The 23405-nt window shown below is 39.1% G+C and overlaps 1 protein-coding gene across 13 annotated transcripts, besides 2 other annotated features; it reads left to right on the top strand.

Moving 5' to 3' along the window:
- On the top strand, positions 5–22598 carry BLOC1S6 (biogenesis of lysosomal organelles complex 1 subunit 6). Of its 13 annotated transcripts, NR_132350.1 has the most exons (6): positions 442–678; positions 5017–5158; positions 14116–14289; positions 15982–16069; positions 18310–18396; positions 19277–22598. NR_132350.1 is itself a non-coding variant. In NM_012388.4 (5 exons), the coding sequence occupies exons 1-5, from the start codon at positions 326–328 to the stop codon at positions 19394–19396; spliced, it is 519 nt and encodes a 172-aa protein (NP_036520.1). In that variant the 5' UTR covers positions 261–325; the 3' UTR covers positions 19397–22590. The 13 variants fall into 13 exon arrangements, 3 of the variants coding, with proteins under 3 accessions (NP_036520.1, NP_001298184.1, NP_001298185.1); NR_132351.2 differs by lacking the exons at positions 442–678; positions 14116–14289 and adding an exon at positions 261–407 and having other exon boundaries at positions 15986–16069; positions 19277–22590; NM_012388.4 differs by lacking the exons at positions 442–678; positions 14116–14289 and adding an exon at positions 261–407 and having other exon boundaries at positions 19277–22590.
- Positions 61–320: an enhancer, noted in NCBI's record as "active region_9363". NCBI's record gives its function as "activates an Ori minimal core promoter by ATAC-STARR-seq in GM12878 lymphoblastoid cells {active_cell/tissue: GM12878}" and the evidence as "EXISTENCE:reporter gene assay evidence [ECO:0000049][PMID:35858748]".
- Positions 787–1407: an enhancer, noted in NCBI's record as "H3K27ac hESC enhancer chr15:45880103-45880723 (GRCh37/hg19 assembly coordinates)". NCBI's record gives its function as "activates a minimal SCP1, AML or CMV promoter by ChIP-STARR-seq in primed H9 embryonic stem cells {active_cell/tissue: H9 hESC(primed)}" and the evidence as "EXISTENCE:reporter gene assay evidence [ECO:0000049][PMID:30033119]".

Consider the following 23405-nt stretch of genomic DNA (forward strand, 5'->3'; position numbering starts at 1 on the left):
CGTGACCCACCCCGTGAGCAGCCCAAACCGACCACCGTCCTCCCCCAGCTCCCACCAATCGGATCGCAGGGACTCGAGCCCCACACTGCTGAGTCCGCTGACACTGCGTCCGGGGCCAGACGACGATATCAGCGCGGGGTCCCCACAACGCCATGGGGCAGAGCCAACTCTCGAGCGCGTGATCGAAGCCCGCAGTTTTTTCGCCCCCGTCACTTCCGGGTGCGACAATCTCTTCTGTCCGGCCAGCCGCTGGAGTCGTTAGGTGCCGCCTTGCTTCTGACGAGCCACACGTTTGCTTCTTCCCTGTGTTCCCAGCTGGAGGGACATGAGTGTCCCTGGGCCGTCGTCTCCGGACGGGGCCCTGACACGGCCACCCTACTGCCTGGAGGCCGGGGAGCCGACGCCTGGTACGTACTATCGGGTGGGAAGCGCGGCCCGGGCTGGGTGTGAGGGGCGGGGACCTGAGTGAGTAGAACTCCGGAGAAACCCTGGGGGAGTAAGCGGTTTTTGGCGGCTGCGGCCCCCGGGCCCTGCCCCGAGTGCAGAAATGGGGAACCGCGCCGGCCCCTCTGCCCAGCGCAATGGGCGGAACTGAAGTCCCGAGGGGAAGCTTTGTATTGGGGGTGCAATTGAAGGCGGTTGATGGTGAAGCCATTCTGAGTTTATGTGTTGACTCCGGTACGTCATTGGTTATTTGTCATACGGCAGTGGTGGGGGATGGATTTACCAGAAAGATGATCAGCTTATAATTCAGAGAGGTGACGTATCCTATAATATTGACCACTCATGAAATGCTTGGTCAGCTCGGTGATATTACTTCATCCCTATTCCTGCAGCAGTCTTCTCGACCGAGTTCCAGGAGGGATTTAAGCTCTAATGCCCTAAGGCATCCATTGAATGGAATGAATTAACTTGCTGTGCACCCAAAATGGTACTATTTATGTACCATCCTTGGGAGAACTGAGAAAATGGTCACTCAGAGCATTTTCTGTGTTCTGTGGTTTAGATGAGGCCTTAGATGAGAAAGGCTGCAGGGCTCCTTGGATATGCTTTTTCTTTTACCTCCTGTTTCAGAAATATAGGGGTTACCCCCAAATAGTGCTCTCAGCACTTTCCTGTTCATGCTTTTCCTCAAGGATCTCTTCACACTTTCATTAAGTCGCTTCTATAAATATGACTTCTTTGTATGTATTTGAAACTTGGGCCCCTCTCTTAACTCTTGTTTACTTCTCCATCTGCTAGCTGGATACTTTGACGTGGCTGTTTTGCACTAATCTCACGTAAGGCATGTACATAAATGAAAACATGTCTCATCCTGTTAATGGTGGTAGGTCACTCTGACTTGAAACTTTGAAATTGCTCTGGACTTTTTCCTCTCTCTCTCCTTCCACCTCTAGGGGATTCTCCTATACAATTCCATCTCCTTGTAATTTCACCTTTAAAACAGCTGTTGAAAGGCTGGTTCACCTCCAGTCTTACTCTTTCAACGCATCTGTCCCGCTGCTGTCACATCACTGTCCCAAGATAAAGCTTCAGTCATGTCATTCCTGAACTCAGAAACCTTAAATAGCTCCTCACTACTTATTAACAAAGGTCCAAACCATTAACTTGGCATTTAGAGGCCCTTACTGGCCTTCCGGTCTTAAAGCTCACTATTGCTATGCTGCATATGCCCCATGCCTCTCCAGAAGTATCCTGTACTGTATTCCAGCCTTTCCTCATGCTGCTTTCTTTACCCATATTGCATCCATTCCACTCCTGCCATAGATTTCTTCCCCATTTGGAAATAGTCCTCACAGATTGTTGGTGGGAGTGGAAATTGGTGCCAATTTCTTAGGAGGGCAGTTTGGCAATGTCTGTTTAAAAAATGCATAAACTCTTTGTCCCAACAGTCTACTTCTAAGAATTTATCCTACAGAAAGTGACACAAATATGCAGATAAGCAAGGAAGCTCACTGCAGCATTGTCTGAAATAGCAAAAAGTGAAAATAACCTAAATAATCCATCTATGGGGGACTGGTTAAACAAACTATGGTAGAATTCTATTCTGCTAAAAATAATGTAGTAGATCCCTATATGTTGGTATGGAAAGATACCTAAGATATATGTTTTAAAAGTTGCAGAATGGTATGAGTAATATTTCGTTTGTCATAAAAATAATATATGCATAGATACGCAAAGACAATTTCTGGAAGGCTCTGTGAGAAACTCCAGAGTAGCTCATGCTGGAGTTAGAGGGTAAGAAGAAGTATTTTTACTTTTCAGTTTGTGCCTCCCTCTGTAGTGTTTTAAGTTTTTACAGTGAGTAACACTCGAATAGACAAAGAGAAATGAAAACTCCATCCATTCTTTGAGCCTTAGCTCAGTGTCCACACTTCCTTTAGGAATTTTTCTTAGACTTCCCTAATGAAAGTCGCTCTCCCCTGAATTTCCATAACATTTTCTGTTTCTCATTTTCTGTGATTCCTCACTTCTCATATTCTGTGATTGCTCGTATTGTGCCCTTCCAGGGAAGGAGACTTGCCTTATTTATTGTTGTAATCTCAGAACCTGGTACATAATATAGATGTTCAGCAAACCTTTCTCGTATGAATAGAATAAGGACCCTCCCTTTCTTCTTCTTTACTCTCGCACAATAAAGCACCTTGAACTTAGTAATTAAATATATATAAAAACTTGAGTGACTTCTTAACCATTGGAAGCAGAGGGTAAAAGAGAGAAAAACAAAACAAACAAACAAACAAAAAATGAGTAACTGAGACTCATCCAATAATTAACCAGAACATTGGGGTGGGAGGAGGGTTTGTGAGTTAAAATGTATGTATATATTGTTAAGCGAAGTGAATTAGTTGTTATTCCTTAAAGTTGAAATGCCCTTTTTTGGGGTGTTCCTATCATAAAACATTAAGAAAATTGTTTTCTATATTTATTAATACTTAAAGTTGCTGATTGCATTGTTATTTTAATCAAGCCTTAAGCAACGGCATAATTGGTGGATATAATTTATTCACTTCCTATACAGTTGGTACATTAATATCCCTAAGTGCTTCACTTTTCTCTCTCTCTCTCTCTCTCTATATTTTTTCTTTTTTTGGTTTTTGTATTTTTATTTTATATGTGGAGTGCTTCAGTTTCTAGTTAGCTCTTACCTATTTGAATGTTGCCTTGCAACTTTGAGAAGTCCAAAGTTTGTTCATGTGTTTCGTAGGGTTAAAATAAAAATTATATAATTTTATTTTGATTTTCAAAAAGCTTACTTCGAATATGATAGCATGTTGTTTTCCTCAATCTTTTTTTTTTTTTTTTTGAGGCAGAGTCTTGCTCTGTCGCCCAGGCTGGAGTGTAGTGGCACAATCTTGGCACACTGCAGCCTCCACCTCCCAAGTTCAAGCAATTCTTGTGTCTTAGCTTCTCGAGTAGCTGAGCTTACAGGCATACAACACTACGCCCGGGAAATTTTTATATTTTTAGTTGAGATGGAGTTTCACCATGTTGGCCAGACTGGTCTCAAACTCCTGACCTCAAGTGATCCGCCCACCTCAGCCTCCCAGAGTGCTGGGATTACAGGCATGAGCCACTGTGCCAAGACTGTTTTTCTCAATTTTGCCAAAATTTAAATCTGTGGCACAAATTGTACTTAGAAATGTGTCACAAGCAATGTGTTGTGATAACTGTTCTATAGAGTGATGTAATTTGATGTTACTGATGGTTACCAGACTATAATTGAAGAGAGATGTTTCAGAGTTTAATATTAATCATAATTTTAGTGTATAATTTTAGTAAAGTGACCATCTTACTTTTTTTTCTCTGATTATAAATCAGTGATTCCATCTTACAAACCATTAAACCCTATTTAGAAATTGTATTTTTCTTGGTAGGAATGGTGATTGATATTCATCTTAGATGTTTTTGAATACCTGGCACAATGCTTACACTTTTATTATTCAAAGGAAAGTGATGAGGCATTGATCTCAGCATCAGGTCTAGATTTATACACAAGACAATGATTATACACTATTTTCTATGGTAAATTAAGTTGCTGAATCTTAAGAGAGAAGAAATTCTTAGAAAATCCCTCTTCTCCTCCCTAACAAATAACACAACCCTCCTTTTACATGTAAATAACATATCGAACTATATCAAAATCGATGTTGACCTACATTTTTGTTTCCATAGAATTGAAAACATACTTTATTTTAGGCATTGCATTTTTGTTTATATAATTTCTTCATGCTTTTGAAAGCAAGAATGCTTTAGTTCAGTGACCGTTACCCACGTTTTGGCCTCAGGCTCCTTTATTTTATTTTTATTTTTATATCTATTTATTTTTTTGAGACAGGGTCTCGCTCCGCTGCCCAGGCTGGAGTGCAGTGGTGCGATCATAGCTCGCTGCAGCCATGAACTTCTGGGCTCAAGTTATCCTCCCACCTCAGCCTCCTGAATAGCTGGGACCACAGGTGTGTGCCACCGTGCCCAGCCATTCTGGGCTTGAGCAATTCTCCCACCTTGGCTTCCCAAAGTGCTAGGATTACAGGTGTGAGCCACTGCCCCTGGCCCTCAGACTCCTTTGATAATCCAGTGAAAACTATAAGTCCTCTGCCCTGAAAAATATATAAAGATACAGAATTTTGTGTATGTTAATGTTCATTTATCATAGACTTTACCTTATAGTAGTAACTTAAAAACATTTTTTGAACATTCATGACTCATTTTTTAGAGGAAGCTCAGAGGTAAAAGTTTAAAAAGAAAAGAAGGATACCTGTGGTTGGGAGACTGTGTGTGTGCCCTCAACCCCATTTGTGGGCTCCTTTCTACCTGCTACTCCCCAACCTCCTTTTATTAGCTGTGTCAATTTGAAAGGTTCCGGCTGGTCAGAGTGCAGTGGTGTTTACAACTAATTGATCACAACCAGTTACAGATTTCTTTGTTCCTTCTCTAATCCCACTGCTTCAGTTGACCAGCCTAAAAAAATAAAATAAATAAAAGGTTCCTAAATTTGATTTTTGCTGGGGACAGGTTTAAGTGACACTTCTCCAGATGAAGGGTTAATAGAGGACTTGACTATAGAAGACAAAGCAGTGGAGCAACTGGCAGAAGGATTGCTTTCTCATTATTTGCCAGATCTGCAGAGATCAAAACAAGCCCTCCAGGAACTCACGTAAGCTAATAAAAAACCAGATATACACTCATTTCCTCTGTGGCATAGTCACAATTTGTATAATTGTATACTGTGTTAAGACATAATATTTTTTAACATGCAATTATAATTGAGTATGTCTATATCTTTATTGATAGCAGATGGGAATAGAGGAGTACATAGTATTCTAAATGTAAAAAGTGAAATGAATACTCCTAGGGTGTTCGATCTCTTCTAAGAAGTACTCCTAAATCTTACCTAGAATCTGTGATTAGGTTTGGCATTTATCATTATTTTATGAAAGTATTGCCTATTGGGGATTGTTCAGGTGGAGATACACCTGTTTCTGAGTAGAGTTGAAAAATTGCCTCCATAAAAGTCACGCTTGTTTTCAGTTGCTGGTTCAAATAAGTTGCCAGAGATCTGTAAGTATCTTTTCTGAGATGATCTGTTTCATTCCCAGTAGATAACTTTACTAGTAAGTAAAGATTAGAGGATATGTTAAGAAAACAGTTTAAGATAGAACAGAACCCATAGAGTGGGATCAGTATACAAAAACATATACTCTGGCTTTATCAGCTCCCATCCACAGACAACACACTCAGCTTCTGCCTCCTCCTGGGTCGGGACCTCTCTGGATAGCCCAGGCTGGCCTGTCTGTCATTTCTTTCTGTGGTGGTCAGCTTTACACTGGCTATAAACTGCTGCTGCTCTGAGACCTACCCTTTGAAAACTTACTTAAGAGGCCTTTATTAGGGCAAAAGGAGAGGAATAATAACTGTGCTTATTTTATAATTATAAGTAATGTTATAATCCTTAGTGTTAAGGTGCTAAATGCATATAAAAGTGGTACTGAGGCCAAGTGTGGTGGCTTACACCTGTAATCCCAGCACTTTGGGAGGCTGAGGCGGGCGGATCACTTGAGGTCGGGAGTTTTAGACCACCCTGGCGAAACCCTGTCTCTACTAAAAACACAAAAAATTAGCTGGGCGTGGTGGTGTGCACCTGTAGCCCCAGCTACTTGGGAGGCTGAGGCAGGAGAATCGCTCGAACTCAGGGGGCTGTTTGTGGTGAGCTGAGATCTGCACCACTGCACTCCAGCCCAGGTGACAGAGTGAGACTCTGTCTCCGAAAAAAAAAAAAAAAAAAAAAAGTGGTACTGGGTTATTCTAAGACTACATGTGTACTACTATAGTTAGGGAGTTGGCAACCTTCTCAGTTTTGTGCTAATCCCAAACAAGATTTTTTTTATCCCTAGCGCGCGATATACCTTATATTTTGATGCCAATCAATCTTTGTTGTTGTATGAGGTGTGATAGATGGAAGGTAAGAAACTGCAAGCGAACATATCTGAAAAATACTTTACTTGCAGGAAGCTGGGAATCAAGTTTTAATTGCAGAGTTTAATTGATGATGATATTGTCTAAAATTTAGTGTTTCGAATAGCCCCTACTTATCTTCTTAGGCACCCAGACAACAATGATTATTTTGACGATGATAGTAAAATTAGCTACTGTTTGTTATTATATGTACTATATGCCCAGCACTTTAACATATCTCAGTTACTCCTGACACCAACTTTATGAAGTATCTAGTATTATCCTTATTTACAATTGAGGAAACTGAGGCTCAGAGAGGTTAAGTAATTTGAAAAAGATTACACAGGTAGTAGTAGAATTAGCTATTGAATATGATGCATTAGTAGTTAATATGCTTCTTGACTGTTAAGGAAAGGTAAACAAATTTCAGAGAAAGGAAAAAGAGAGTATTTCCTCCTCTTTTCCCCATCTCTCCACAAATTTCACTATTAATAAAGATATAGGGGAAAGAGTACTGGACTGAGAGCCACCTGGATTCTAGTCCTGGCTCTGCCATCAAACCTTTGGTAAAGCCTCTTCACCATTATAGAAACAGGTCCACAGAGAAGTAAAGGAGAAGGTAGTGGTAGGTAGGGATTAAGTTTATTTTGTAGCTAACAATGAGTAAGGAAGACCAAGAAAAAAATTTAGCTTTATATATAAGAAAGGTTATAAATATTCATTTATATGTATTTATCATTTTAAGAACATTGGAAACTAAAAAAACAAGGTTCTGGGATCCAGGCCCCTAAAGCAGCCACAGAGGTGCAGTTGTCAGTGGCCTCCATGGAGCTCCCTTCGAGATAATTCACACTTGGAACTTGTAAGGAAGTAGCTTTTCTCTCAGATAATCATTCCTCAGACACTGCATTAAGGCTTCACAAACATTGTCAGCATATTTACTGTAAATTATACAAAGCTTCAAGGGAATGAAGTTGAGTCATCTTTTCTGCCCCACTGTATTCTCTGGAACTTTCTCCCTTTTTTTGAGACTGAGTCTCATTCTGTCATCCAGGTTGGAGTGCAGTGGTGGGATCTCGGCTCACTGCAACCTCTGCCTCCTGGGTTCAAGAGATTCTCCTGCCTCAGCCTCCCAAGTAGATGGGATTACAAGCGCGCACCACTCCGCCCAGCTAATTTTTTTGTATTTTTAGTAGAGATGGGTTTCACCATGTTGGCCAGGCTGGTTTTGAACTCCTGACCTCAAGTGATCTGCCCACCTTGGCCTCCCAGAGTCCTAGGGTTACAGGTGTGAGCCACTGTGCCCAGCCACATTCTCTGGAACCTTCTTTGAGAGTGGCCAGACTTATGGGTCAGGAAAGCACTGTACTTAAAATTATAGTTGTATTATAAAGGGTACAGATCAGGACAAGCCAATGCAGAGACACACAGGGTAGTGCCTGGGAGGTTCCTGAACACAAAACTTTTGTTTCCTCTCCCAGTGAGAGGAAACCCCCGCTGCCAGCACATCAGTGTGTTCAGCAGCTTGGTGTTCGAGGCTGCAGTGAACCATGGTCATGCCACTGTGCCCTAGCCTGGGTGACAGAGTGAGACCCTATCTCAACAACAAAAATTTAGTCTTTTAATCTATGTACTTGGAATGTCTCTATTATTTAGAAGTTCTTTCTTTGTTATTTTTCATTAGCCTCCCATCTTGAAGCTCTAGGGGCCCATCATGAGTCACTTTATTAGTGTAAACTCAGGTGTGATCCAAGGAGCTCATGGATAACAAAGACACTTCTGTCACTTGGAAAATTCCAAGGATTTTAGAAGCTCTGTGCCAGAAACCTGGGACAAAGATCAGACAAATTCTTTGTTAGATAACAGGTGTCTGTTCAGATCTTTTGCTCATTTTAAAATTGGATTGTTTTTCTTATTGTTGAGTTTTAAGAGTTCTTTGTATATTTTTGATATGAGTCCTTTATGTGTTTTGCAAATATTTTCTCCAAGACTGTGGTTTGTCTTATTACTCTCTTTACAGTGTCTTTTGCAGAGCAGGAGTTTTTAATTTTAATAAATTTATTTAATAAATAAGAAAAAATATAGTCGGTTTTTTCTTTTATGAATTGTGCTTTTGGTAGTGTGTCTAAAAACTCATCACCAAACCAAGGTCACCTAGATTTTCTCCTGTGTTTTCTTCTAGAAGTTCTAGTTTTGCATTTTACATTTAGACCTATGATTTATTTTGAGTTAATTTTGTTTGTTTGTTTTGAGATGGAGTTTCTCTCCTGTTGCCCAGGCTGTAGTGCAATGGCACGATCTCGGCTCACCACAACGTCTGCCTCCTGGGTTCAAGCGATTCTCCTGACTCAGCCTCCTGAGTAGCTGGGATTACAGGCATGCACCACCACGCCTGTCTAATTTTTGTACTTTTAGTAGAGCCGGGGTTTCTCCATGTTGGTCAGGCTGGTCTCAGACCTCAGGTGATCCGCCTGCCTCGGCCTCCCAAAGTGCTGGGATTAGAGGTGTGAGCCACCACGCCCGGCCTATTCTGAGTTAATTTTTGTGGAGGCTTGTAAGGTCTGTGTCTATTAATAGATGCATTTCTTTGCGCATGGATATCCAGTTGCTTCAGCACCATTTATTGTTGTTGTTGTTGTTTGAGACAGGGTCTCACTCTGTTGCCCAGGCTGGAGTGCAGTGGCGCAGCCTTAGCTCACTGCAGCCTCCATTTCCTGGGCTCAAGTGATCCTTCCATCTCGGCCTCCCAAGTAGCTGGGACCACAGGCGCACACCACCACACCTGGCTGATTTTTGTATTTTTTGTAGAGATGGGGTTTCACCATATTGCCCTGGCTGGTCTTGAATTCCTAGGCTCAAGTGATCCTCCTGCCTTGGCCTCCCAAAGTGCTGGGATTACAGGTGTGAGCCACTGTACCTGGCCACCATTTGTTGAAAAAACTATCCTTTCTCCACTGCATTACCTTTGCACCTTTGTCAAAGAGAAGTTTATTGTTTTTGTGTAGGTTTATTTAATAAGGGTTTTCTATTCTGTTCCATTGATCAGTATGTCTGTTCTTTTGCCATTACCATGCTGTCTTGATTTCTGTAGCTTTTTGTTGTTGTCATTGTTTGTTTTTTTTTTGAGACAGGGTCTCACTGTTGCCCAGGCTGGAATGCAGTGGGGCGATCTCAGCTCACTGCAACCTCTGCCTCTCAGGTTCGTGATTCTTGCACCTCAGCCTCCCAAGTAGCGGGATTATAGGTGCGCGCCACCACACCCAGCTAATTTTTGTATTTTTTATAGAGATGGGGTTTCACCATGTTGGCCAGGCTGATCTTGAACTTCTGACCTCAGGTGATCCCCAGCCTCAGGCTCCCAAAGTGCTGGGATTACAGGAGTGAGTCACTGTGCCTGGCCAGATTTCTGTAGCTTTATAATAAGTATTGAAATTGGGTACTGTGAGTCTTCCAATTTTGTTCTTCAATGTTGTATTGGCTCTTCTATGTCTTTGCCTTTCCATATGAACTTTAAAACAGTTTGTTGATATCTATACGATAACTTGCTGGGATTTTGATTGGGGTTGCATTGAATCCTTAGATCAAGTTGGAAATAATTTGCATCTTAAAAAATATTGAAGGGCTGGGTGTGGTGGTTGATGCTGGTAATCCAAGCACTTTGGGAGCCTGGGGCAGAAGGATCTCTTGAGGCCAGGAGTTGGAGACCAGCCTGGGTAATGTAATGAGACCCTGTCTCTACAAAAAAATTTAAAAAGTCAGCCTGGCGTGGTGGTGTGCACCTGTAGTCATAGCTACTTGGGAGGCTGAGGCAGGGGATCCCTTGAACCAGGAGTTCAAGGCTGCAGTGAACTATGATCATGCCGCTGCAGTCCAGCTTGGGTGACAAAGTGAGACCCTATCTGAACAACAACAGTTGAGTCTTTTAATCTGTGTACTTGGAGTATCTCTCTATTATTTAGATTTTCTTTGATATTTTTCATTAGAGTTTTATACTTTTTGCATATAGCTCCTGTATATATTTTGTTATATTTGTACCACCATATTTCACTGGGGATGGGGAGCTACTATAAATGGTATTGTTTTTTAAATTTCAAATTCATTGCTGGTACATAGGAAAGAAATTGACTTCTGTATATTAACCTTGTATCCTGAAATCTTACTATACTTGCCTATTAGTTTCAGGAGGTTTCTTGTTGAATCTTTGGGAATTTCCACATAGGAAATCATCTGGGAACAAAGACAGTATTATTGCTTTCTTCTCAATTTGTATACCTTTTATTTCTTTTTCTTGTCTTGCTGTATTAGCTTGGACTTAAAGTATGATGTTGAATATCCTTGATGAACATTGATGCAAAAATCCTCAATAAAATACTGGCAAACCGAATCCAGCAGCACATCAAAAAGCTTATCCACCATGATCAAGTAGGCTTCATCCCTGGGATGCAAGGCTGGTTCAATATACGCAAATCAATAAATGTAATCCAGCATATAAACAGAGCCAAAGACAAAAACCACATGATTATCTCAATAGATGCAAAAAGCCTTTGACAAAATTCAACAACCCTTCATGCTAAAAACTCTCAATAAATTAGGTATTGATGGGACGTATTTCAAAATAATAGCTATCTATGACAAACCCACAGCCAATATCATACTGAATGGGCAAAAACTGGAAGCATTCCCTTTGAAAACTGGCACAAGACAGGGATGCCCTCTCTCACCGCTCCTATTCAACATAGTGTTGGAAGTTCTGGCCAGGGCAATCAGGCAGGAGAAGGAAATAAAGGGTATTCAATTAGGAAAAGAGGAAGTCAAATTGTCCCTGTTTGCAGACGACATGATTGTTTATCTAGAAAACCCCATCGTCTCAGCCCAAAATCTCCTTAAGCTGATAAGCAACTTCAGCAAAGTCTCAGGATACAAAATCAATGTACAAAAATCACAAGCATTCTTATACCCCAACAACAGACAAACAGAGAGCCAAATCATGAGTGAACTCCCATTCACAATTGCTTCAAAGAGAATAAAATACCTAGGAATCCAACTTACAAGGGATGTGAAGGACCTCTTCAAGGAGAACTACAAACCACTGCTCAAGGAAATAAAAGAGGATACAAACAAATGGAAGAACATTCCATGCTCATGGGTAGGAAGAATCAATATCATGAAAATGGCCATACTGCCCAAGGTAATTTACAGATTCAATGCCATCCCCATCAAGCTACCAATGACTTTCTTCACAGAATTGGAAAAAACTACTTTAAAGTTCATATGGAACCAAAAAAGAGCCTGCATCGCCAAGTCAATCCTAAGCCAAAAGAACAAAGCTGGAGGCATCACACTACCTGACTTCAAACTATACTACAAGGCTACAGTAACCAAAACAGCATGGTACTGGTACCAAAACAGAGATATAAATCAATGGAACAGAACAGAGCCCTCAGAAATAATGCCGCATATCTACAACTATCTGATCTTTGACAAACCTGAGAAAAACAAGCAATGGGGAAAGGATTCCCTATTTAATAAATGGTGCTGGGAAAACTGGCTAGCCATATGTAGAAAGCTGAAACTGGATCCCTTCCTTACACCTTATACAAAAATCAATTCAAGATGGATTAAAGATTTAAACGTTAGACCTAAAACCATAAAAACCCTAGAAGAAAACCTAGGCATTACCATTCAGGACATAGGCATGGGCAAGGACTTCATGTCCAAAACACCAAAAGCAATGGCAACAAAAGCCAAAATTGACAAATGGGATCTAATTAAACTAAAGAGCTTCTGCACAGCAAAAGAAACTACCATCAGAGTGAACAGGCAACCTACAACATGGGAGAAAATTTTCGCAACCTACTCATCTGACAAAGGGCTAATACCCAGAATCTACAATGAACTCAAACAAATTTACAAGAAAAAAACAACCCCATCAAAAAGTGGGCGAAGGACATGAACAGACACTTCTCAAAAGAAGACATTTATGCAGCCAAAAAACACATGAAAAAATGCTCATCATCACTGGCCATCAGAGAAATGCAAATCAAAACCACTATGAGATATCATCTCACACCAGTTAGAATGGCAATCATTAAAAAGTCAGGAAACAACAGGTGCTGGAGAGGATGTGGAGAAATAGGAACACTTTTACACTGTTGGTGGGACTGTAAACTAGTTCAACCATTGTGGAAGTCAGTGTGGCGATTCCTCAGGGATCTAGAACTAGAAATACCATTTGACCCAGCCATCCCATTACTGGGTATATACCCAAATGACTATAAATCATGCTGCTATAAAGACACATGCACATGTATGTTTATTGCAGCATTATTCACAATAGCAAAGACTTGGAACCAACCCAAATGTCCAACAATGATAGACTGGATTAAGAAAATATGGCACATATACACCATGGAATACTATGCAGCCATAAAAAATGATGAGTTCCTGTCCTTTGTAGGGACATGGATGAAATTGGAAATCATCATTCTCAGTAAACTATCGCAAGAACAAAAAACCAAACACCGCATATTCTCACTCATAGGTGGGAATTGAACAATGAGATCACATGGACACAGGAAGGGGAATATCACACTCTGGGGACTGTGGTGGGGTGGGGGGAGGGGGGAGGGATAGCATTGGGAGATATACCTAATGCTAGATGACGAGTTAGTGGGTGCAGTGCACCAGCATGGCACATGTATACATACGTAACTAACCTGCACAATGTGCACATGTACCCTAAAACTTAAAGTATAATAAAAAAAAAAAGTATGATGTTGAATAGGAGTTGTGAGAGGGGACATAGCTTGTTCTAGTTTTAGGAGAAAATTATGTAGTTTCTCACCCTAAATGTTAGCTGCAGGTTTTTCAAGGTATTCCTTATTAAGTTGAGGAAGATCCTCTCTCTTCCTAGTTTGTTGATGGTTTATAGTCATGAATAGATGCTGGATTTTGTCAAATGCTTTTTCTACATCAATTGATAGGACCATGTAATTTTTCTTCTTTAGCCTGTTGATGTGGTAGATTACATTGATTGAATTTTTGAATATTGAACCAGCTTTGCGTATTTGGCAGAAATTTTACTTGGTTGTGGTATGTAATTCTTTTTACACATTGTTGGATTCAATTTGCTAATATTTTGTTGAGGAGTTTTATATCGATGTTCATGAGAGATACTGGTCTATAGTTTTTCTTTCTTGTAATATCTTTATCTGGTTTGGCTTTAGGGTAATGCTAGCCTCATAGAATGAGTTGGGAGGTGCTCCTTTTGCTTCTGCAGTTGTTGCCCTTTATCCAAAGGAGGATATGTTCCAAGACCCCTAGTGGATACAATATTTTAAATAATTTTGTGCATGAAACAAAGAGTTTTGACTGTGACTTATCACATGAGGTCAGGTGGGTCATTCATTGTCCAAATGTTTCAGGTTTTGCAACATTTTGGATTTTCAGGTTATGGATGTCAGCCTTTATACACTATGTTTTTTCCTATACTTACATACCTATGATAAAGTTTAATTTATAAGTTAGGCATAGTAAGAGATTAACAACAATAACTAATAATAAAATACAGCAGTTATACTATAATAAAAGTTAAGTGAATGTGGTCTCTCTTTCAAAATATCTTATTGTGCTGTACTTACCCTTCTTGTGATGATATAGCACAGCTGCAGTTGACTGTACGTGCCTAAAACTGAAGAAAGCAAAACTGCAGATAAAGGAGGACTGACATATTTTCTGGAAGAGACTGTGGGGAATTGGTATCACGTCTTCCTTAAATGTTTGGTAAAAATTACCAGTGAAGCCGTTTGGTCCCGGTACTGTCTTTTTTGGAAGGTTATTACTTACTGATTCAATTTGTCTAATAAATATAGGCCTACATAAACTTTTTGTTTCTCCTTGTATAAGTTTTGGTAGTTTGTATCTTTCAAAGAATTAGTCCATTCCATCCACATTATCAAATTTATGAGCACTGAGTTGTTGAAAATATTCATTTATTATCCTTTTAATGTCATGGGATCAGTGGTGATTACTGCTCTTTCATGAATAATACTAATACTTTGGGGTTTTTTTTTCTTGATTGGTCTCACTAGAGGTTTATCAATTTTATTGATCTTTTAAAGAACCACCTTTTTGTCTCATTGATTTTTTTGTTTTCCCCCTTCTATTGTTTTCTAGTTCTAACAGCCTATTTTTGCTGTCCTGTGTATCTCAGATGGTTGACTTGCTGGGTTTTCCTCTCATCCATTCTGTATTTCACTTTCTGTGATCTCTAGTCCAAGCTGGAGGGACAAAGTTATTTATTTATTTATTTATTTATATTTGTAGAGATGGGGTCTCACCCTGTCACATAGGCTGTAGTACAGTGGTGTGATTATAACTCACTGCAGTTTCTAACTCCTGGGCTCAAGCAATCCTTCTGCCTCAGCCTCCCAAGTAGCTCGGACCACAGGTGTGTGCCACCACACCCAGCTCATTTTTTGTGTGTGTGTGTGTTTTTTTTGTTTTTGTAGAGGGTCTTGCTTTGTTGTCCACGCTGGTCTTGAATTCCTGGCTTCAAGCAATCCTCCTTCCTTGGCCTCTCAAAGTGCTGGGATTATAGGCATGAACCACTGTGCCCAGCCAAGAGACAAATTTATGACCTGTAGGGTATGCCAGACTCAGTGCTGGATAGTAGAGATGTTGTAATTGCCCTGAGCCTGTTCGTTGTTATTTCTTTTTTTTTTTTATCATTATTCTCTAGATAGCACAGTTTTACAAGCAAATGACATATTTTTCTTTGTAGCATTCTTTAAAATATTCAGGTAGGTGACCCTTTTAATGTCACTTATTCCTGTGATCCTAACATTGATTGATGTGTAAAGAAATATCAAGGAAGTTGGCTTCTCTTCCTCAATGAGTTTTGAATTAGAATTGTAATGAGAAACATTAGAAATTATCTGGTCTGATCTTCTCACTTTGTAAATGAGGAGATTTAGGCCAGAGAAATAAACTGAATTTCTAAGATCATATAGCTAACTGGCTGTTGGCCGGGGAAAGCTATGATTTCCAGTCCTGTGCTTTTTTCATCTTACTGCTTAATTATTCTTTTTGACTTACTATCCCTTGATACTTCATCTTCCTCACCTCTAATCTGAAAAACCATTGTTCCTCATTTCCTTTATGGGAATGTTGCAATTTTAAGATATATAAAACATTGAACTTCTTGGGCAAAATACTATAAAAAACTTCTTTTTTGGAATAATACAGAGAGTTGTTAAAAGTAACAAGTAATAAAATACTTTTAAATGATTGGATTATTTTAGTTATTAGAAATTGAAGCAAGAATAAAAGACACATTTAGTTATCAGAATGTGGCTTTAGAATATTATTTTGAAAAATCTTATTCTATATTAAATAAACCTTAGAGAGTTAATACATTTCCTACTTAACTAACTGTTACCATTAACCAAGATGAATATGATTCCTTTTAATGGACCGGCACTTTAAATATGTAGAGTTTGTCTTGGCTGTGTGTTTTTGTTTCAGACAGAACCAAGTTGTATTGTTAGACACACTGGAACAAGAGATTTCAAAATTTAAAGAATGTCATTCTATGTTGGATATTAATGCTTTGGTAAGTATGATTTAGTTGATGTAATTTAATGACATCTTGTCTTAGCAATAGCTAAGACTTAGCTAAGCAATAGCTAAGATTTTAAGCTTAGAATTTGTCTTTTTAACAAGAAACCTTGATTGAACTTCTGTTGTGTTGAATTGTTATCTTTCAAATGTTGAATTTATAGTAGGAAATTTAACTTATTTGTGCATTTGGAATAGATCTGCTTATAATTGAAGACTTAGAAAAGAGAACTTAGACTTGGCATAGTGGCTCATACCTGTAATCCCAGCACTTTGGGAGGCTGAGGCAGGAGGATTGCTTGAGCCTAGCAGTTCAAGACCAGCCTGGGCTACATAGTGAGAACCCATCTCTACAAAAAGTAATTTAGAAAAATAGTTGGGCATGGTGGCACATGCCTGTAGTCCCAGCTTTTCCAGAAACTGAGGTGGAAGGATTGCTTGAGCCCAGGAGGTCGAGGCCACAAGTGAGCTGTGATTGTGCCACTGTACTCCAGCCTGGGTGACAAAGGGAGACCCTGTCTCAAAAAACAAACAAACAAAAAGAGCGAACTGGAAGTAATGAACCTTTGGGGTACCATTTTTTTTTTCTTTAAAGAAAGTGCATTTCTCTTTACCAATTACATGGTTTCTTAAATTAGCATTTTATTTAATTATATGGCATATTCATAATGCTATAATAAATTAATGCTATAGGCTGAAGTGGACGCTTTGAGAATGATCAGTTATATCTTTCAATATAAATAGTTGAACAGTTGAATTTCATCAGAAGTTCTATAGCTTTTTGATGAGAGGAAGTGATACTCTGTATTATAAGAAACAAGGAATTAACCAAAAAAAGGAACTTGTTTTGCTACCTTTATTTTCTGATGAACATTAAAAATAGTTTTGTTTGTGGGCAGGGCACAGTGACTTATGACTGTAATCCCAGCACTTTGGGAGGCTGAGGTAGGAGGATTACTTGAGGCGTGCAGTTTAAGACCAACCTGGCCAACGTAGCAAGACCCCATCTCTATTAAGAAAAAAAGAAGCTGGGTTTACATGACTGTAGCCATTCATGCATACCTCAAAAAAATGGACTTTTCTTTGGACAAAGATGGTTTACTAATGTTTTCCATTTGTAACAATTAAAAACAAAGTTCATATTCTCTGGCATTAGAGGCCTGTGGAAGTAAATACAGAGCCATCTGCCCAGTAGTTCCTGGTTTCTTGCGAGGGAGGTGGGCAAGGCTACACTGACCTATTTTTGTGTTCCCCACTGAAATCCTGTTGCAACAGAAGGAATATTTGTTGAATGAATGAATGTTGAATGAATTAACCAAGCAGATGTAATACTGTTGCTTTAGTCTGAAGGGGCAGGATGGAGTCTTCCTCTTTTTTCTTCTCTTAGTCAAGAGTAGTTTTTATTATCATCTGGGAACTGAAAACTGGAAGGCCCAGGATATGTAAAAAGGCACTGTAACTTCTGAGCTAATCAGACAATGACTTTACTTGCAGCTACATTAAGGCTGTGAATCTCTCTACTGACATTTCTTTCATTTCTTCTCTTTCTGTAACCTTGTCTGAAAATAGGGTGCTTTTCTCCTTCTCTCTGACATCTCTAGGCTTGCATCATCCTCCCATCTTCTCCTGACATAAGACTTCATTTTAGATTATGCAGGTTGGCTGAGTTGTAAAGTCTGTACTTAAGACTCCTCAAGAAGGAAAGTGTCCTCACAGAGATCATTCTGCTTAGTCTGACTAAAGCAGCCCAAGGAATGGATTAAACTTGTCCACAGTCCTTTCTGTCCAGGGCTCTGTGGCCACAGTTTGGGTTTTCCTTATGGGCAGACACTTCACTTAAACTGTTTCATGTGCTCTGGCTCAGTCTGTCTCTTGTAAAGGCAGAGAGAATGTTTTACTTTTCTTAAATGAAACTGATAGCATTATTAGATAGTCTTATCTGAAATTTTAGAATTATATGTTTTTAAAGCAAAATATTGTCTATGCCCATCTTAATATAAATGTCTATTTTATGTTTAGTAACACTTTTGTCAATCTGAACTAAATCAAATGTCTTTCAAATCCTACTAACAATATAAGGAAATCTTTATTTTGGAATTAAAATGTGAAGATAAGGCTGTAAAAATTTTGACCAATTTAGGAAGCACAAACTATCATTTATATATTGCCTTATTTATTCATTTTGATATTTTAGTCTATTTTAACTTGACTTTTCATTTATTTTTCCATGTTAAGTTTGCTGAGGCTAAACACTATCATGCCAAGTTGGTGAATATAAGAAAAGAGATGCTGATGCTTCATGAAAAAACATCAAAGTTAAAAGTGAGTTGAAAATTCTTTCACATTCTTTACAAAAGTAGAGGTTTAATTGTTTTTTGTTGTTTTTTTTTTTTTTCAGTATTCTTTTTTTTTTTGAGACGGAGTTTTGCTCTTGCCGCCCAGGCTGGAGTGCAATGGTGCAATCTCGGCTCACTGCAACCTCTGCCTCCGGGGTTGAAGCGATTCTTCTGCCTCAGCTCCCCAGGTAGCTGGGATTACAGGTGCCCGCCACCACACCCACCTAATTTTTGTATTTTTAGTAGAGACAGCGTTCTACCATGTTGGCCAGGCTGGTCTCAAACTCCTGACCTCAGGTGATACGCCTGCCTTGGCCTCCCAAAGTGCTGAGATTACAGGCGTGAGCCACTGTGCCCGGCCAGTATTCATATTTTGACTTTTATACCCTCATATACAATAGCATAATTCATTCATGGTACATTGTTTTCTTTTTAAAAATGTCATTGTTTAAGAAATATTAGAGACAGGGTCTCACTACGTTTCCGAGGCTGGTCTTAAACTCCTGAGCTCAAGCAGCCCTCTGGCCTCGACCTCCCTAAGTGCTGGGATTACAGACATGAGCCACTGCGTGCAGCCTTAAAAATATCATTTTTTTTTCAACTGCACTCTGAGCATTTTTACTAATAGCTGGGCTGATAGGCTTAGATTCTCTGGATATGCCCTACAGTTCTCATTTAATAAGAGTTTAGAGCAACAAATTTTTTTGAATCAAAGGGACCTTAAATTATCCCAAATTTAAATGTCCAAGATGAAGTTTATTAGTGTGAATGAATTACCTCAAAGCAGAGCACTGTTATTTTCAAATTAGGCTAAACCTGTAACCCCTGATTGCTCTCTTGGTTTTTAAATTTTTTTTTTAACACAGAAAAGAGCACTTAAACTGCAGCAGAAGAGGCAAAAAGAAGAGTTGGAAAGGGAGCAGCAACGAGAGAAGGAGTTTGAAAGAGAAAAGCAGTTAACTGCCAGACCAGCCAAAAGGATGTGAAAAGTTGTGTTTGTGTGTTTTCTTCTCCTGTCCCATATTTGGGTTATGATGACTCAAGTGTAGACTGAAGTTGAGGTAGTGCCTTATGCCATTATGTCATATGTTGAAATCCTTATTCCGGTATTACTGTGTCTCCATGCCTTTTTTCCAAGTAGCAGACGTCATGTTGCATGGTTTTTGATATTTATATGTAAGTTTTTCAAATTTTGCTTAATTTTAAAATTTATTATTTTGATCTTGAATTATTTATAAACTGGAAAGTGGTTTGATTATTGTGAGTCAAAACTCTAAGTGGTTAAAAATTAGTATGAATTTTTTAGCTTCTTAATGAATATGGATTTAAAACTCTCCAGTTCTTATTTTATGAAATGACTTGCCTTTCTGGTAATACAATGCTGATTTTTTAGTAATTGCCTTTTCATTACTTTGTTAAGAAGAAATGCCAGCTGTTTAATCACACCTACCCCTGGAAAAGAGGTAAACCTTTTGAACAGTTGAATTTCATCAGAAGCTCTATAGCTTTTTGGTGAGAGGAAGTGATACTCTTTATTACAAGAAACAAGGAATTAACAAAAATAAGGAACTTGTTGCTACCTTTCTTTTCTGTTGAACATTAAAAATAATTTGGTTTGTGGACTGGGCATGGTGGCTTATGGAAAAGAGGTGAGCCTTTGTGAAGAACATAATGGAAAAGTGCATGTACGGGAAATAACAGCACTTTAGGTGTAGTTCAGGTGAGCAAGATGCCAGATAGTTTCTACTAACCATATACTCTTTCTGCTTCTTAGCGTCGTTGTCACTGCTTCTGTGGCTTTTGGGTTCAAAGTAGATTATATATATTCCTAAAGCTTGGTGGAGGTAGTGGAGCTATCACACACTCAAATGAGCTTGTATATTTATAATACAATATAGTATTATAGTAACAGTTATCATACACTGAGATATAGTTTCTGTGCTTGTAAAAAATTCTTGAAGTGAGGCCGGGTGCGGTGGCTCATGCCTGTAATCCCAACGCTTTGGGACGCCGAGGCGGGTGGATCATGAGGTCAAAAGATTGAGACCATCCTGGCCAACATGGTGAAACCCCGTCTCTACTAGAAATACAAAAATTAGCTGGGTGTGGGGGCGTGCGCCTGTAGTCCCAGCTACTTGGGAGGCTGAGGCAGGAGAATTGCTTGAACCCAGGAGGCAGAGGTTGCAGTAAGCCAAGATCGTGCCACTGCACTCCAGCCTTGGTGACAGAGCAAGACTCCGTCTCCAAAAAAAAGAAAAAAAAATTTCTTGAAGTGGAATGATGTACACCAAATACCCACTTTATAGATAATTACAGGGATGGTGAAAAATTAGTAAATAGCTTCACAAAAGAGGCAGCGTGATACCTTTAGTGTTTTCTAGAATTTTTTTCTGGATATTATATGTAAGAATTTATTGTTTGAGGGAAATACGAGGTTTCATTGTTTAAAATCAAGAGTGTATTGTTTACTGTTTTACAGTATTATTTAATATCCAACTGGTCTCCAATCTCCATTACATAGGGACTGTACAGAGCCTGTGAAGATGTATGAATGGTATCTTTTATAATCCACAATACATTTCTGGTAAGATGGAATCACTACCTCTGATCACATATCAGGCTAACGATAGAGAAAGCATTAGGTTTAAGTTGAGGGCTAAGAACTGGTTTGTTTAAAGGTTTAAATTGTTGGAAAAGAGCATTTGCCTTCTTTAATGAATGATGGTCTCACAATTCAGTTGACTTTGACCTAATATTTAAGAATATAAATATATTTTATTTGAAAGGCTGAGTGTTGCCCTCAAACACTTGCTAAAACTGCCTAGGGCAGGATTCATTAGGGCTTGCAGACAATGTCACCTAAATTGCTGAATGTACTCATTATAATATGATATCTGACAAAGGTAGTACAGCGTTTCTGAGTCATTTGGGACCAACTGCAGTGGTTGTTTAAAATGCTGGTTCCTGCACACAATTCTCTATCTACTGAAGCACATCTGTTTTCTTTGTTTGTTTTGCTTTGCTTTTTGTTTTTAAAGTTTCCCCCAGTGATTCCAGTGCACCTGAAAAGTTGAGAACCACAGGCTTAGTGGTACGTTGGGGTTTCCCACGCTAGGCTGCATAGCATTATAACCTGGGAACGTTAAAAAAAATACAGACATTCTTGATTCTTAGTGTAGTTATGATGTGGATCCTACGTATTTTTTAAAAAACTCTCCAGATAATTTTGATGTCACGAGTCACTAGTATAGACTATCTATCTAGTGAGTTGTATTATAAGCGATGAAATACTTTAAAAGCTACCCAGTAACTCTTGGGATTAATTTTATGAAATAAATTCTGAGCTGCTGCTTTTGATATAGTCAGACTTAAGACTGAACCCCAGTAGACAGGCAATAGATATAGAATTCTGGTTAGCTAATTGAACTTTTGTGACCTGTTTAAAAACAAATCAAATTTATTGAACAAATGACAAGGCACAAATACTTTCAGAATTGTATTTCAGTTTTGAAGATTTAAAAAAAATGTGAAAATAAATATATATTAGTATCCTTTATTTTAAAGTCAATTGTAAACCAGAAGTACTGTTATTTTGGTGATTAAAATCCAAAACTTTAGCTGTATTTCAGTAACAAAAACATACCTTACTAGACTGTGATGGCTCACACCTGTAATCCCAGTGCTTTGGGAGGCTGAGGTGGGAAGATTCTTTGAGCCCAGGAGTTCAAGGCTGCAGTGAATTCTGATCGCACCACTGAACTCCAGCCCGTATGACAGAGTGAGACCCTGTTTCTAAAAACAAAACAAACAAACAAACAAACAACGTATCTTACTGACTAAACTGGAATGGAAATCTTATAATTAGTGTTGTATTTTTCTGCAAAATAGTGAATTGGTACTTGGGAGACTTCTGTTCTTTGTTGAAAAAAATTGCCTTTGTTTTGAAATTATATCACCTGTGTTCTGAACTAAAATGATGGGAGTTCATTTTGTATTTACTTTGCAGTAAGTATCATGTAAATATGCAAATGTTGAATGTAATATAGATTGTGTCCTCATTGAGTTTTTGGGTGATACAGTTTATAAATATAACAATTATACACCCTCATACATTCGTCTGATTTTGAGCTTGTAAGATGAGAACTGCTTTTTACACATTTAATAAAAAAAGGTCTCTGAATTATCTGATGTCATTTATCAAGCATCCTTCTGTGCACAGCGCTATATACTCCCCTTCATGTACATTATTTCAAACATTCTACTCTCTTCTCTTCTCACCTGTTATCTTTCTCTTAATGTTCTCCATCTATTGTGTCACAAAATTATGGGTCCACTCTTGAAATTTCTTTTAGAAAGGTGATAGAAAGTCCAGGCACGGTGGCTCATGCCTGTAATCCCAGCACTTTGGAAGGCCAAGGTGGGTGGATCACTTGAGGCCAGGAGTTCGAGACCAGCCCGGCCAACATGGCAAACGCTGTCTCTACAAAAAATACAAAAATTAGCCGGGTATTGTGGTGCATGCCTGTAATCCCAGCTACTACTCAGGAGGCTGAGGCAGGAGAATCACTTGAACTGGGAGGCAGAGGTTGCAGTGAGCCGAGGTCACACCACTGCACTCCAGCCTGGGCGACAGAGTGAGACCCTGTCTCAAAAAAAAAAAAAAAAAAAAAAAAAAAGGGATAGAGGCCAGGCATGGTGGCTCATGCCTGTAATCCTAACACTTTGGGAGGCCGAGGCGGTTGGATCAGTTGAGGTCAGGAGCTCAAGACCAGCCTGCAGCCTGGCCAACATGGTGAAACCCTGTCTCTACTAAACATACAAAAATGAGCAGGGTGTGGTGGTGTGCTTGCACTCCAGCCTGGGCGACAGAGCGAGAGCGAGACTCCATCTCAAAAAAAAAAAAAATTAAATAAATAAATAAATAAATATGATAGTGTGAAAAGATTCTAGTCAAACCAATTTCATAAAGTTTTTCACTTTTCTTTGAGAACAAAA

The sequence above is a fragment of the Homo sapiens genome, chromosome 15, assembly GCF_000001405.40.
Source record: "Homo sapiens chromosome 15, GRCh38.p14 Primary Assembly".
Classification (NCBI taxonomy): domain Eukaryota; kingdom Metazoa; phylum Chordata; class Mammalia; order Primates; family Hominidae; genus Homo; species Homo sapiens.